Below are 16,474 nucleotides of genomic sequence, written 5' to 3'. Positions count from 1 at the left end.
TTTAAAACTGAAAAACACAATAACTGAAATGAAAAGCTCAGTGAATGGGTTCAAAGAATAATGGAAAGAGCAGAGAAAGAATCAGTGACCTGGATGTTAGAACAATACAAAGCTCCTAATCTTTACAAGAGAGAAAACTGACTGAGAAAAAATGAATAGAGGATCAGAGACTTGTGGGATTATAACAAAATATCTAAGATTTATGTCATCAGAGTTCTGGAAAGAAAAGAGAAAGAGGGCAGGACTGAAAACATACTCAGAAAAATAATGGCTGAAAATTCCCAAATTTGGCAAGAGACATAAATACACAGACTCAAGAAGCTGATTAAACTCCAAATGAGATAAAAATAATGAAATCCACACCAAAACACATCATAATTAAACTTCTGAAAACTAAATATTTTGAAAACAAAAGATTAAAAAACAAAGATTATAAAACAAATGACAACAAATTTATAATCAGAAAACAAGGAGGCCAAAAAGAAGTGGCACGATATTTTTCAAATGCTGAAAGAAAAGAACTGTCAAATCAGAATCTTTTTTTTTTTCTTTTTTTTTTTTTTGAGACAGAGTCTTGTTCTGTTACCCAGGCTGGAGTGCAATGGCGTGGTCTCAGCTCACTGCAACCTCCGCCTCCTGGGTTCAGGTGATTCTCCTGTCTCAGCTTCCCAAGTAGCTGGGATTACAGGTGCCCAGCTAATTTTTTTTATTTTTAGTAGAGATGGGGTTTCACCTTGTCGGCCAGGTTGGTCTCGAACTCCTGACCTCAGGCGATCCACCCACCTCGGCCTCCCAAAGTGCTGGGATTACAGGTATGAGCCACTGCGCCTGGCCAAATCAGAATCTTATACCCATAAAAACAAGCGAGCAAACAAACAAGTCTTCAGGATTAAGGGGAAATGAAGACATTGTCAGATGAAGGGAAACTAAGAGGATTTGTCACCAGCAGACCTACCCTAAAAGAGTGGCCAAAGGTTGTTCTCTACGTAGAAAGAAAACAATAAAAGAAGCAAGTTTGAAACATCAGGAAGGATGAAAGAAGACAGTAAGCAAAAAAAAAAAATGGGTAAATACAATAAACTTTCTTCTCCTCTTGAGATTTCTAAATAATGTTTGACGTTGAAACTAAAACTATAACATTGTTTGGTGTGACTCTTAATGTATATAGAGGAATACTTGAGACAAGTATGTTCTAAATGGCAGATGCAAGGGATGTAAAGGCAGGTAAGATTTTTTTTGCTTCACACAAATTGGCAAAATATGACTGTAAGACTATATATAGACTACAATAAGTCATATATAGAAAATGTAATACTTAGAGCAACCATTAAAAACTATACAAAGAAATATATTCAAAAACACGATAGATAAACCAAAATAAAATTTTTAAAAATGTTTGTTACCCACAATAAGGCAGGAAAGAGCAAACAGGGAAAAGAAAAGCAGAGAGAACAAACAGAAAACAAAAACATAAAACAACAGACTTAAGTCCTAACATATCAATAATTACTTTAAACACAAATGATCTAAATACACCAATTATAAGACAGAGATTGGCAAATTAGAAACCATGACCTAAATACAGCTTGCCTAAAGACATTCACTTCTAATACAATAATATAAGCAGGTTGAAAGTAAAATAATAGAAAAAGATATACTACACAAACATTGACCCCAAAAAACAAAAAGCAGGACTGACAACATTAATATCAGATAAAACAGACTACAGAGCAAAGATAATTACCAGAGACAGAGAGGGACATTCTATGATGATAAAAAGGTCAGTTCACCAAGAGGATATGGCAACCCTAAATGTAAATGCACCAAACAATGAAGCTGTAAAATATGATAGAACTGAAAAGAGAAAAAGACAAATCTACAATTATAATTAAAGACTTCAACACCCCTCTTTCAACAATTAATAGGACAATTTGACAGAAAATTAGCAAGTATATAGAACTCAACCATACCATCAATCAATAGGATCTAACTGACATTTCTAGAACACTCCATCTGTGATGATTAATACTAGCTGTCACCTTGACCGAACTGAGGGATACCTATAGGGCTAGTGAAGCCTTGTTTCTGGGTGTAACTGTGAGGGTGTTTCCAGAGGAGACTGACATGTGAGTCAGTGGACTGAGAGAGGAAAACCCGTCCTCTATGTGGATAAACACCATCTAATCCACTGCGGGTGCAGCCAGAAAAATGCCAGGCAGAAGGAGGGAGATATTCAGCTTGCTCTTGCTTCTTCTCTCTCTCCCTTCCAGAGAAGGATTCTTTTTTCTCCTGTAGTCCTGGGACATCAGACTCCAGGATCTTTGGTTTTTGGACTCTGGGGCCTGAACCAGCAGCTTCCCAGTAGTCTCCCAGGGGCTCTCAGGCCTTTGGCCTCAGACTGGAGCTGCAACTGTTGGTTTCCCTGGTTCTGAGGCTTTTGGACTTGGACTGAACCACACTAGCTGTCTTTCCAGGGTGCCATACTTACCAGCTTCTCTACTCCTCCAGCTTGAAGATGGCCTATCCTGGGACTTCGTCTTTCTTATCATGTGAGCCAAATTCCCCTAATAAACTCCCTTTCATATATATCCTATTGGTTCTGTCCCTCTGGGGAACTCTGACTAATACACTACCCAACTGCTTCAGATTATACATTCTTCTCAAATGCCCATGAAACATATACCAAAATGGACTGTATCCTGAGCCATAAAACAAGTTTCAACGAATTTAAAAGAATTAAAATAATATAGAGCATGTCTTCCTACCACAATGGAATCAAACTAAAAATCAATAATGGAGAGATAACAGGAAAATCTCCAAGCACTTGGAAATGAAACAACATACTTTTGAGCAATCCATAGTTCAAAAAGGAGGTTTCCAGGAAAATTGTTTAAAATGCATTGAACTGAATAAAAATTAAAATACCATACACCAGAAGTTGTGAGACACAGCTACAGCTGCACTGAGGGGGAAATTTATGGCATTAAATGTATACTTTAGAAAAGAAAGTCTGTCTCAAATCAATAATCTAAGCTCCCATCTGAAAAACCTAGAAAGAGAATAGCAAAATAAACCCAAAGCCAGTAGGAGATGAGAAATAATAGAGATAAGAACAGAAATTAAAAACCGAACAATGATGGGAAAATAAATGAAACAGATGGTTCTTTTTTTAAAAAAGATCAACAAAATTGGCAGAACTCTACCAAGATTGACAAAGAAAGAAGAGAGATGACACAAATTGCCGATATCAGGAATGAAACGGGATTTCACTGCAAACCCTACAGACATCAAGAGGATAATAAATACTATGAACAACTAACTCTACATACATAAATTTGACAACTGAGTGAAATTGACCAATTCTTCAAAAAATACAAACTACCACAACTTATTCAATATGAAATTGATAATTTGAATTATCTATACCTATTATGAAAATTGAATTCATAATTTAAAACCTTCCAAAGAAGAAATCTCCAGGCACAGATTATTTCACTAGAGGTTCTATTAAACACATTATAGAAAATTAACACCAATTCTACACAATTTTTCCAGAAAATAGAAAAGGAGAGAACACTTCCTAATTAATTTTATAAAATCAATATCCTAGTTTTGAAAAAAGAAAATTATATACACAATATCTCTCATGAATATAGAAGCAAAAATCCTTAACAAAATATTAGCAAATAGAATTCAGTAATATGTATTTTTTAATCTATACACCATGACCAAGTAGGCTTTATTCTAGGAATGCAAAGATATTTCAGTAATTGAAAATCAATCAATATTAACATAACCATAGTATCTGGCAAAAAAGAAAATACCAGAATGTATCATAAATAATTTGTCTGGTCTTTGTCCTTGGTTCCTGGGAGGGATCTTCTACACCCTTCTTATCACCAGAAATTTCCCTGATGATAAGAATGCCTTTGTTATTCATTGCGGGACCATACCTGAGTTTATCCAAATGAGGTAACTCAGGGTGAGCATTAAAAAAAATGCTCACTAGAAAGTTTCAGGTTGGGGGCTGGCCATGCCAGAAAGACAAACATGTGTTTAGAGGTTTGGAACTTTGAGCCATGTGACATCATCCCAACCTCCCAATGTTCAAGGAGGACAGAGAAGCTGGAGTTTGAGTTCAATCGTGTGGCAAATAATTCCATCAATCATGCTGACATAATGAAACTCCAATTAAAAACTCTGGACACTAAAGCTTGATTGAGCATCCTAGTTAGTGACCATATTGATGTGCCAAGAGGATAAGACATCTTGATTTTCTAGGAAGTGAACACAGAAACTCTGTATTCATAACCCTCCAAGACCTTGCCTTCTGGATGTCTTCTTCTTGCTGGTCCCAATATGTATCTTTTATAACAAAACTTTATTCATAAGTGTAGCACTTTCTTGAGTTCTGCGAGTTGTTGTTCTAGTGACTTATTAAACTGGAAGAGGTAGGAAGTGCCACTACCAATTAGTCAGACGTGTGGATGGCCTGAGAAACCCAGAACTCATGGTGGCATCTAAAGTGAGAGCAGTCTTGTTGGGACTGTGCCATAAACCTATGAAGTTTACACTAATTCTGGGTTATTAGTGTCAGAATAGCATTAAAATACTGCATGTTATTATATCAATTGATACAGAAAAAGCATTTGACAAAATTCAATATCCTTTCATGATACTCTCAGGAAAATAGAAATAGAATTTCAACTTGATTAAAAAAAATGTACAAACAAACGAACAACAAACCCTATAGCTAACAGCATGCCTAACAGTGAAAGACTAAATGCTTTTCCTTTAAGGTTGAGAATGAGGCAAGGATGTACACTCCCACCACCCATATTCAATATACTGTTAGAAGTTCTAGCAAGTGCAGTAAGTCAAGCAAACACCATATTGTTAAAAAAAAAAAAAAAAAGGAAGAAATAAAACATTCCTTATTTGTAGATGATATCATTGTTTTTGTAGAAAATCCCAAGGAACTTTTACAATAAGAGATGTTAGCAAAGTTACAAGATATAAACATACAAATATTAATTATAATTCTATATTGTAGCAATGAACCCACATACACTGAAATTAAAAATATAATACCATTTTCAATTGTTCCAAAAATGAAATATTTAGGTGTAAATCTAATAAAACATGTGTAGAACTTGTTACTGAAAACTACGCAATACTGATGAAAGTAATCAAAGATGATGTAATAAATGGGGAGACATATCATGTTCATGGATCAGAAGACTCAACATAGTAAAGATGTCCATTCTCCCCAAGTTTATATACAGATTTTCTATCAAAATCCCAGCAATAATGTTTTGTAGGCATAGACAAGATTATTCTAAAATGTATATGGAAATGCAAAAGAACTACAATAGCTAAAACAATTTTGAAAATGAATGAAGTGTGAGAAATTCATTTACTCTATTTTACAACTATGAGGTATTGTCAAAGGGGTAGACACAAGCATCAATGGAACGGAATAGAGAACTCAGATATAGGACCACAGAAATATGCTCAACTAGTTTTGACAAGATGCAAAAGCAATTCAGTGAAGGAAAGATACCTTTCTCAACAAATGATGCTGGAGCAACTGGACATCCATAGGCAAACAAATGAACTTCAACCTAAATCTCATACCTTATACAAAAATTAACTCAAAATAGTCATAGAGTTAAATGTCAAACTTAAAACTATAAAACTTTTAGAAAAACTACTAAGAGAAACTCTGAGATCTAGGGCTACACAAAGACTGCTTACACTCGATACTGAAAGCACAATTCATAAAAGGAAAAATTGATAATTTGGACTTTGTCAGAATTTAAAACTTTTGCCCTGAAAAAGACCTTTTTTGATAAAAAAGACAAGCTACAGAGTGGGAGAAAATACTGGCAAATCATACATACAACAAAGGATTAGTATCTGGAATAAAAGAAAAAAAAACCTCTCAAAACTCAACAACAAAAGCAAAGAATCCAGACAGAAAATGAACAAAAGATATAAAGAACAGCTAGATTTAAGACCATATGACTAGTTTTGCCCAATGGGCTGTGAGCAGAAGTGATATGTCCCTTCTAGTCAGAGTAGTTAAGAGTGGGTGTGAGATTTCATATTTCCTCTCTTCCCCTTCCTAAAAACCGTATATTGAAATTCTGGCATCACAGAATGGAGTGGCCTGAATCCCTGATTCACCTCATTAAGGAGAGATTCTCTTGTTAGTTGATCAGCTTACACTGGACATTACATGAGTAAGAGATACGGTCATGGTGTTTCAGGATCTTGGGGGTGTCAATTTTCTGGCCGGAAACCTCTGTGGCCATGGCGGCTTTGTCTGAGTCCTGTGTCCAGGAAGAGGTACACAGACAAATGAAGGGTGAACAAGACCAAGATGAGCTTTACTGAGTGTTACAACAGCTCAGAGGAGATCCTCAGTGGGCAGCTCCTCTCGGTAGGCAGGTAATCTCTCAAGTGTTCAGTTCTCAGCAGAGAGGAGGCCTTGGAGAAGGTGGCTTCTCTCTGCCAGCAGGTCGTCTCTGCAGCTCTCAGCAGAGAGGGTAGCTCCTCTCTGCAAATGGTTGTTCTGTCATCTCCAGCTATCAGCAGAGAGGGTACTCCTCTCTGCTGCTGGCCATCCAGTCTTCTCTCCAATGTCTTCATCCTCTCCTGTCCTCTGCCCTGCTCTGGCTGAGCCCAGGGCTTTTATGGACCTCAGAGGGGAGGAAGTGGGTGCCAACTGGTCTATGGGCAGCCATGGGCAGACCGGAAGAGGTACCACGAGTTCCCACTCTGGTCAGCGGGACTGGCAACCAGGTCCCCAGCCTTCAGACCCTTCCTGGCCTGAAAGTGAGAACTTACTGGGGACCTGCCCCATCCTGCCCAGTAAACAATCTGCCTTCCACTACCATTCATGGCCCCTGGGCCTTGGCCCTAACCCCTGCTCTGAGATTAGAGCAGGCACTGGAAGCAGCCTGGGGGCCATCGGGCGGCCACCCCCCACCGTGACCAGGCTCCAGGGTGTCTGCTCCTGCTGCTTGGCTTCTCTCTGCTCTGCAGGAGAAGTGTGGGGGTCCTTCCTGGGGCACCCAAGGGTTCAGGCTGCAGAGACACCCGGGTCCTGCACCTGGGAGGGCAGCTGCACCCGGGAAGGCAGATCCTGCCCGCTCCCAGCCCTCCCGCAAGAGCACAGGGAGGCTCTGATGCACAGCTGCAGTTTGGGCAGTTATAGCCCTGCTCAGGAGGGCAGGGCTTTTGCCTGCTCACAGAGCAGGAGGCCTGGGTCTGCAGTCGTGGTTTGGGCAGCTGCAGCAGCACCTGGGGAGCTCCATGGAGTGTGCAGCTCCATCCACACCTCCCTGCTGCAGCCACCATGATGGTAGCAGCCACTGTCATCAATGGTGTGTTAGGTGACTGCAATTTCTGGAATTATTTGTTATTGCAACCATAACCTATTCTGCACTGACAAATATAATGGATAAACTATCGTAATAATTTAATAAACATTTCTATATCATTGGACAATTATGTAACTTTGCTTTCCACAATTATTTATAATTAGCAACGTTGCAATGACTCTCTTCATCTGTGTATACATTTAGTGCAAGTTTTTCATTGGAGTAGAGCAGAAGTGAAGATTATTTCTTTAGAATTGTTTCTTTAGAGTATTACTGGGTAAAGGGGAGTAAGGGTTTCTATTATTCTGCATATCAGTGCCTTTCAAGTGTCTGATACACAGAATTTGGTCAACATGACTTTGTTGAATGAATACTCTCTAATACTGGCCACAACCAATCTTGCCAACTCTTACTATTACCATGTTTTTAGCAAAGTTAATGGGCATAAAGCGATTCTTTCCTGATATTGCCATTCGCATGGCTTTGGTTGAAAGTGAGATTGAGCATCTGCTCATATGTTTGTTTGCTCATTGTAATTCTTCTTTATGAATTTCATGAACAGAGAGGTTTATATTTGAGAAACAAAGTGGTAGATTGGCCTGATGATGTTACTTCTCTTTGTTGGCTTCCCCCAAATAGAAATCAGTCACACTGGAAGGTGAAAAGTATACTATCACTTTCTCTAACTATAATTCTTTACCTAGAACAAAGCCAACTCTTGCAGCTGAGGTTAGCTTTAATTAACCCTTTCAGCTGAGATTCTCAAATATTCCCGCATTGTGTTCATCCAAATGTTTAATTGACTTGGTGATGATTAATTAATAGGCACCATTTCTGCCATCTGGAACAAGCTCCCTCTACCTCCTGGCCTTCTCACTTCTCCAGTTTAGTTAAGATCTCTATGAATGCACTTGTCTTCTTTCTCAACCAAACATCTTATTTTTCTTCCTCTTTCTTTTTAATGTTAATGCTTAGCAGAACTCAAGGTAGGAAAACTGCTGCCTAGGGAGAAGCCTAGGAGAATTCAACTGGATGTTCTGCACCAGTGCTACCAAGTTTTGTTACCTCACTGAGTGGGCCAATCCTTTATTGCCAAGCCCCTGAAGTCATTTATTTGTTTCTGTTGTCTATAAGCCATAGTAATGTGTTTATTAGCAAGTATGAAACCCCTCCTAAATAACAAGGCTCTTCTTGCTTCCACCAACGTCCACTTTCCCAGCCCCTGTTCCTAACACAACTTTTTAAAAAATAGAGATGGGGCCCTGCGATGTTGCCCAGGCTGGTCTTGAACGCCTGGCCTCAAGAAATCTTCCTGTCTCAGCCTTCCAAAGTGCTGAGATTAGAGGTATAACCCACCATGTCCAGCCAATTCTACTCACACTTCTTTGCATGTACCCTGACCTAACATCACTATGTGCATTTATATAAGCTGGTCCTTCTGCCTAGAATATCCTTTCCCACCTTTTCCACCTGATATTTTCTCTCCTTCTTTAGGGCACACTCTCAGGACAACACATCTGCGAGGGCTTTCCTGCTTTCAGGGTCCAGAGCTTGTCATTCCCTTCCCCACTCTCTGCAGGACATGCCATCAATGTGGCACTTTTTCATGGCACGACTCTGTCTTCCTCCAGATTATAAGTCATCAAGAACATATCTTCTCTACCTTTTTTTGTTTTTAGCATCTATCACAGTGAAGAGAAAGCATATAATAGTTTTTGTTCAATGAATGACACTAGGTCAAACCAGTTAGCAAAAATTTTTCACTTCCAACTTCTGACTGGGCCAGACATCCTCCCTAAGCAGTCATCAAAAACAAAACCAAAGTGATCCTTTTTGAGAAAAAGCATCCAGAAAAACATCATAAAGCATGAGGCAAGTTATACATGCTTTGATGTAGGGCTCAGTGTCTGTATTCCAGACCCTGTGTCGTCTTCATTTCACCCATCAACCTCACCATGACCTTGGGCATTCTGAATTGCTTTCCATTCACACGGGGAAGGGGTCTGACCAAGTCTGTGCATGCTTTGAAGAAGTGCTAGATCCAGGACTGGACTGAATCCTACCATCCCTCATAATCCTCACAAAACTTGAATAGCTTTCTAAAAGCTGAGGATGGTTCTTATGCCTATATGGCGTGAAATATATAATTGGTCTTTTCAGTTAAAATCATATATGTTGATAAAGCTTTGATAATCTGGCCAGACACAGTGGTTCATGCCTGTAATCCCAGCACTTTGGGAGGTTGAGGCAGGCAGACCACTTGAGGTCAGGAGTTTGAGATCAGCCTGGCCAATATGGTGAAACCCTGTCTCTACTAAAAATACAGGCTGGGCTTGGTGGCTCACACCTGTAATCTCAGAACTTTGGGAGGCCAAGATGGGCAGATCATTTGAGGTCAGGAGTCCAAGACCAGCCTGGCCAACATTGCGAAATCCCATCTCTGCTAAAAATAGAAAAATTAGCTGAGCATGGTGGGGCATGCCTGTAATCCCAGCTACTCGGGAGGCTGAGGCAGGAGAATCGCTTGAACCCAGGAGGCGAAGATTGCAGTGAGCTGAGATTGCACCATGCACTTCAGCCTGGGCAACAGAGTGAAACTCTGGCTCATAAAAAAAAAAAAATAGCCAGGCGTGGTGGCATATGCCTGTAATCCCAGCCTCTCAGGAGGCTGAGGCAGGAGAATCACTTAAACCCAGGAGGTGGAGGCTGCAGTGAGCCGAGATCAAGCCACTGCACTCCAGCCTGGGCGACAGAGTGAGACTCTGTCTATAAACAAAACAAAACAAAACAAAACAAACAACTATAGTGTTTCTCCCAGATGAATTTGGTTGATATTGGATGTTTCAGCACTTTCACAGCCTGAAGCATCTTGATCTGACCTATGTTATGGGTGGGGCTTACACAATGAGGGCCACCACCTACCTGTTTGAGTAGGACAGTTATAAAATGCTATTCCTTGGATACACCATGGAATACTACTCAGCCATAGAAAGGAACAAAACAATGTCCCTTACAGCAACTTGAATGGAGCTGAGGGCCATTATTCTAAGTGAAGTAACTCAGGAATGGAAAACCAAAAACCGCATGTTCTCACTTATAAGTGGGGGCTAGGCAATGAATAAGCAAAGACATACGGAGGGATATGTGATACAATGGCCTTTAGAGACTCAGAAAGGGGAGGGCGGGAGGAGAATGTGAGATTAAAAACTTCATAGTAGGTACAATGTACACTACTCGGGTGAGTGGTGCGCTAAGATCTCAGAACTCACCACTATATAATTCACCCATGTAAACAAAAACCACTTGTACCCCAAAAGCCATTGAAATTTTAAAAATAAGATAAAATGCTACTCCTTGTAGCTCACTAACTGCTCGGACTTTCGTTTAGACAATAGAAATGATTGAAGAGGTACTGGAGGAAGGGAAGCAGAAAGAAGAGAGAAATTTAACCCCTTTTCAGGAAGCAAGGCTCTACCTAGAAACAAAGGTAAAGGTATGATTAATAGGGGGAAATTACCACTAACAATCCAAGTTCTCACCCAGAAGACCAATGATTTAACATCCTTGGCTAGGGTCGTTAAAAGTCTCCTTGACACAAATGGAAAGCTTCAGACACTGAGGAGGGTACTGCCCTTAAGGGGCCCCACGCCCTAGCAGGGGACTGCAGGGGAACAAAGGTATCTCCCAGCCTAAATGAGGAGCCTGGGTTTTGTGCTTGGTATCTCATCCAACGATCAGGTTTTAACAGCCTCTGTCATTAGGAGTGAAACTTCCCAGGAGCCTTTTGCCAGAAATGGGGTGTGTTACGTTCCAGACAGTTCAAGTCAATATGATGGACCATTAACTCCATGTTTTTGTTTATAGTTGAGTGGGAATGAGTAAGTAATGTCCTTCATCCAGAAAGTTCTCAGAACACAGGATGCAGAAGGCATTTGGAGCTGTCCCCCTCATGTGTGAACCTGCTGCGTTATGATTGTGCCTTTGTGAACTTTGGGCTCTGATACAGGCTAGGCTCCTATACTAATGAGCCTGCACATCTAAAGAAACATGGAGCCTGAGATGAGAAAACTACAAAAGCAATCACAATTTTATGACTTCACTGGCAACAGAACGTTCAACTGGCAAAAATAGTTTTAAGTGGCACTTCATACAAGAGAATAATAAAATAACAGAATAGCACTGACCACATGCAAGAGAATCTGAGGATTGGATGGACTTGAATATTTAAAGACCTAACTGTGTCACTGTTCATGTCTCAAGACATTTTAATACTAAATAAAAAATGCATGAAAAACCCCAGATTTTCTCTATCCTAAATAAATCGATCATCTATCAGTTGTAATAGGGTGGCAGAATTGTGAGAGCTTTTTTTTATTTTCCAAACTTCCTGCTATGTTGTTTTACGGTTTTGCTAATAATAAGAAAGAGATAAATTCACCTAACAACAAATTAACATAAACACTTATCGTATGTTTTTAAACAATGGCATATATAGATAAAAAGATGAAAAAATACACTGTGTTTCCTTAAATAGCATAACAGCGACATTAAAATTCTTGATGCTCTGCAAACTTCCTCAGTCAGGTGCCAACCTCAGGCAAACTGAATAGAATGTATTAATACCTTAAATTTTGTGATTAGGTGTCATATAAATATTATCAATATTCTTGATTGTTGTACAATTGTTAAAATGCAATCATTCATGCTATGTAATTCCTCTCAAAACTCCACTTTTTTATGTGTCTTAGTCTGAGGCTAAATAATTATTATTTAAAGACCTTATCTTTTTCTAAATTCTGGTAAAATATCCATAACAAAACAGCACTGTAACCATTTTTAAGTGTACAGTTCAGTAGCATTGAGTACATTCACATTGTTATGCAACCATCACCATAATTTATTTCCAGAACTTTTTCATCTTCCCAGTCAGAAACTTTGTCCCCATTAAACAATACCTCCCCTTTCCCCTTAGTCACTAGCAAACACCATTCCACTTCCTGTATCTATGAATTTGACTGCTCTAAGTATGTCATAAAAGTGGAATCACACAATATTTGTGACTGGCTTATTTAACAATGTCCTCAAGTTGCATGTTGTAGCATGTGTCAACATTTTCTTCCTTTTGGGGCTGAATAATATTTTGTTGTATGGACATATCATGTTGTTTATCCATTCATCAATCAATAGATACTTGTGTTGCTTCCCTGCATAGCTATTGCACATAATGCTGCTATGATGGGTGTACAAATATCTCTCTGTGTCCCTGCTTTGAATTTTTTGCATATATACCCTGATGTGGAATAGCCGAATCATATGGCAGTTCTATGTCTACTTTTTGTGTTTTTTTTGAGACGGAGTCTCGCTCTGTCTCCCAGGCTGGAGTGCAATGGCGCGATCTCAGCTCACTGCAACCTCCGCCTCGTGGGTTCAAGCGATTCTCCTACCTCAGCCTCCTGAGCAGCTGGGATTACAGGCTTACCACCATGCCTGGCTAATTTTCATATTTTTAGTAGAGACGGGGTTTCGCCATGTTGGTCAGCCTGGTCTCAAACTCCTGACCTCACGTGATCCACCCTCCTTGGCGTCCCAAAGTGCTGGGATTCCAGGTGTGAGCCAGCACGCCCGGCCCTATGTCTAATTATTTTGAGGAACACCATGCTGTTTTCCACAGTGGCTGCACCATTTTTCATTTCTACCAGCAATGTGCAAAGGTTCCAGTTTCTCCACAGCCTCACCAGTACTTGTTATTTCCTGCCATTGTCCTCTTCAAGAACACCGAATAATGCACTGAATTCTGCCCCAGCCCTGCACCGCATCAGAAGGAACCCGACCCTCCTTCTCAGCAGGTCCCAGTGACCTCTGCCAGTGAGGCCCACGATCAGGCCCATCCATCCCATCCGTCCCCAGCAGGATGGGTTCTGGCTGTTGATGGAGAAAGGGAGGCCCAAAAGGCTAATGAGGAAAGTGGTGACTCAGCTTGTAAGCCTATGGGAGAATCCCAGTCCCTGATTTGGCTTCCCCGGATCCTTAGAACTCCAGCTGTTAGCTGTCCCATGATGTGCTTTCCCTGGATGCACAAGGCCGAAACCCCAGAAAACGGTGTATGTCTGCATGCGGCCGCCAGGCCTGGAAACACTTCTTCCTCCCCACCTCCTAAGAAGCCATTCACAAGAAAACTCCCACAGTGACCAAATGGGTGCCCACTCCGCCTCCTCTGCCAGGGCACTGAGGCATCCATTGGCCCCTAGAAGGATCCAGCTGCCCTGGAGAAGAGGTTCCTCCACCCCCTCTGCTGTGTCTCAGGCCCCACATGGACCAGCTATAATCCCACGCCTGCTATAAATCTCCCACCTCGCTCTGCAATCCCCCAAGGACCTTCAGATTTCACTTGGCCTCCCTTTGGCCCCTTGTGGCTTCCCAGCCAACTGAGTGGGAAAAGGAGGGCCCAGAAAGGACAAAGGTGGCAGTGGGGGCTCTGATGCTTGTCCAGGTCAATGACTTTCCTGCCTCGTGCAATGTCCGACACACCTTGAAGCAGAGTTATGGGCTGCCATCTTTCATGCAGGGATGACAGCAGCTCCATTCATCTCCAACACGCATTTCCAAGGCTCAGAAATAAGAACCATTGGCTGTGATTTACAGAGAGCCCAGAGAAAGGGGGGAGGTTTTTTGGCCAAGAGTCTCTTAGCAAAGCAGAAAAAACAAGAAGTGTTTTGTTTTGTTTTTTTCACTTTCAGTTTGCAGCTCAGAAAGCCCAGCCACCCTTTTTTTGTTTCAAGCAGGCACTGAGAGAGAAGGCAGCCCAGCAAGGTAAACTGAAGCAAGTAAAGGCTCTGCAATACAGTCCTCCTCACATGCTCAGCCTCAGCAGGCACAACTGCTGAGAGCTGGGAGGCCAGAGATAAAAGGGATGAAGCCATCCCTTCCTTATACACAGACAAGGAGAAGACCAGATGCTGTGGTCTGAATGCTTATGTACCCCCAAGAATGTTACGTTGAAATTCGAACTCCAAGGTGATGGTATTAGGAGGTGGGGCCTTGGAGAGATGATTAAGAGGTCATCAGGGTGGAGCCCTTGTGAATGGGTTTAGTGCCCTTATAAAAGAGGCCCTAGAGAGCTCCTTCTATCATGCGAGGACACAGTGAGGAAATGCCATCAATGAACCAGGCAACCTGTCCTCCCCAGACACCAAATCTGCTGATGCCTTGATCTTGGGGACATCCCAGCCTCCAGAACAGTGAGGAATAATTTTTTTTCTGTTGTTTATAAGCCACCCAGTCTATGGTATTTTGTCATAGCAGCCCGAATGGACTAAGACATCAGCACATGCCTGCCGCTGGGAAAAGGAACCCCTAAAATTTCAGAATATCTAAATGTATCATTGTAAGATGACACCCCAACCTGGACCCTAAGACTCAAATCCACAGCTGCATTCTGAGAGGCCTTGTGCTTCCTCTCCAAGTTCCTGCATGGACTGTCTGTCCCCACCCTCCCATCCAAGAGCACACTAATGACTTTGTCCTGGTGACCTGTGCCCAGAACCTCACTGGGCCTCCCCTCACTGCTCTCCTGTCCTTGTACCACTGTGGTGCATGCTCTTGAGGACTGCCACCCTCTAAGCCCTCTTTGTCATTGTCAACTGTGGATCTTCTGATCACCACCCTTCTTCCCAAAGGCACCTGACTCACAGTCATCCTCTTCCTCCACCCTCTTCCTTACCTGCCCCCATTCCTGCCATTATGCTAAGTGACTTGACCATGTGTAAGAATGACGCCCGAAACCAGGTCAGCCTCCTGCTCTTGACTTTCTCATGTCAAATGGCTCTTCCCCACCTTCGGCACATAAGCCCAAGCTCCCCGTGAAGTTGCCAAGCTACTGCTTAGGAATTCACAGCCTTCAAGAGTGCTGCCTCCCTCCAGCATTGTTCTAAATTCCTCACCTGCTTCACCCCTGCCTGCCAGCATCTGCAGCAGCCACCTTTGACCACTGGAAAAACTCCAAGAGGATGGCCCAGAGGCCAGCCCTGACCTCACCACGCCTCTGAACCAAACACAGTGCCTACCTCCTCAGGCTTCTGGTCACATGCTCCATTTTCTTAAGTTGAATACACTCCTGACTGATGCAGGGCCTCTACAAATTCATTAGTGTCATGAGGGCATGTGGGCTTTGTTTTAAGCTGCTATGGTGAGAGACACAGGCACAGAAATGATTGTCATGAAGAAAGAAGTTTATGTTCACAGTTTCCTAGAAACAGGAGTTACAGCACAACACAGAGAAGGAATGGGTGGGGCAGGGCAGGGCAGGGCAGGCAGGTTTAGAATTGGCTAGTTTGAATAATTTCAGGGCTGTGGGGCATAGGGGCTGTCCCTGGTTGTCTGAGGTGATTAAGGCAAGAGATAGTGTCCCAGAGTGTGACAGCTCCACATAGGAGGCGGTTGGGAGCGGGAGCTCTGAATTGATTGGTTTGCATTTGAAAGGTGTGCTCCTGGGTGAGTCCTTTACTTCCTGTTGATAGCTGGAAGTCTCCCAGGGTCAGCAAGGCCCCATAATGAATACAGTTGTCATTTTCTCAGCTGGGTCATCATTGGACAATATCTGCTTATTACGCCTCTAAAACGACTCTGATCTCCTCACTATACTTCTCTAACTCAGATCATCACTATTCCAATATTTACCATGGGCCCCTAACTGGCTTTCCTGTTTTCTCTCTTGCTGTTCCCAATGCAAGCAGGCAGACCTTCCTAAAATGTTATTTGGATCATGTTATAGCCCTGCTTAAAACTCCTCTATAGTTTTCCATTGCTTTTAGGATAACTCCAAACACATTTAAATTCCTGTGCATCTTTTGTCTTTTTACAAAATGGAAATAATAAAATAATACTTAACTTGCATGAAGAGGCTACACTGCATAATTTCTTAACATCTCTTCCAGGTCAGAATCAATGATTCGATGACCTAAACATTTTCATCCCCTGCTGCACTGCAGGTGGTGCAGGTGGAATGCCCCCCTCCGGCTGGGTCTGTGTTTGTATCTTTCACTCCATCATTCTGTCTTCCTCCTCTTCTTCCTTTTCTTTCTCATTCT

General features: G+C 41.7%; 1 annotated feature.

Moving 5' to 3' along the window:
- Nucleotides 13,539–13,756: a silencer, noted in NCBI's record as "fragment chr1:228947507-228947724 (GRCh37/hg19 assembly coordinates)". NCBI's record gives its function as "represses an EF-1alpha promoter that drives an FKBP-Casp9 reporter gene in an ReSE screen in K562 erythroleukemia cells {active_cell/tissue: K562}" and the evidence as "EXISTENCE:reporter gene assay evidence [ECO:0000049][PMID:32094911]".

The sequence above is a fragment of the Homo sapiens genome, chromosome 1 (assembly GCF_000001405.40).
Source record: "Homo sapiens chromosome 1, GRCh38.p14 Primary Assembly".
Classification (NCBI taxonomy): Eukaryota; Metazoa; Chordata; class Mammalia; order Primates; family Hominidae; genus Homo; species Homo sapiens.
The sequence above is the reverse complement of the archived record's forward strand: the minus strand, read 5'-3'. Positions and strand labels throughout refer to the sequence as shown.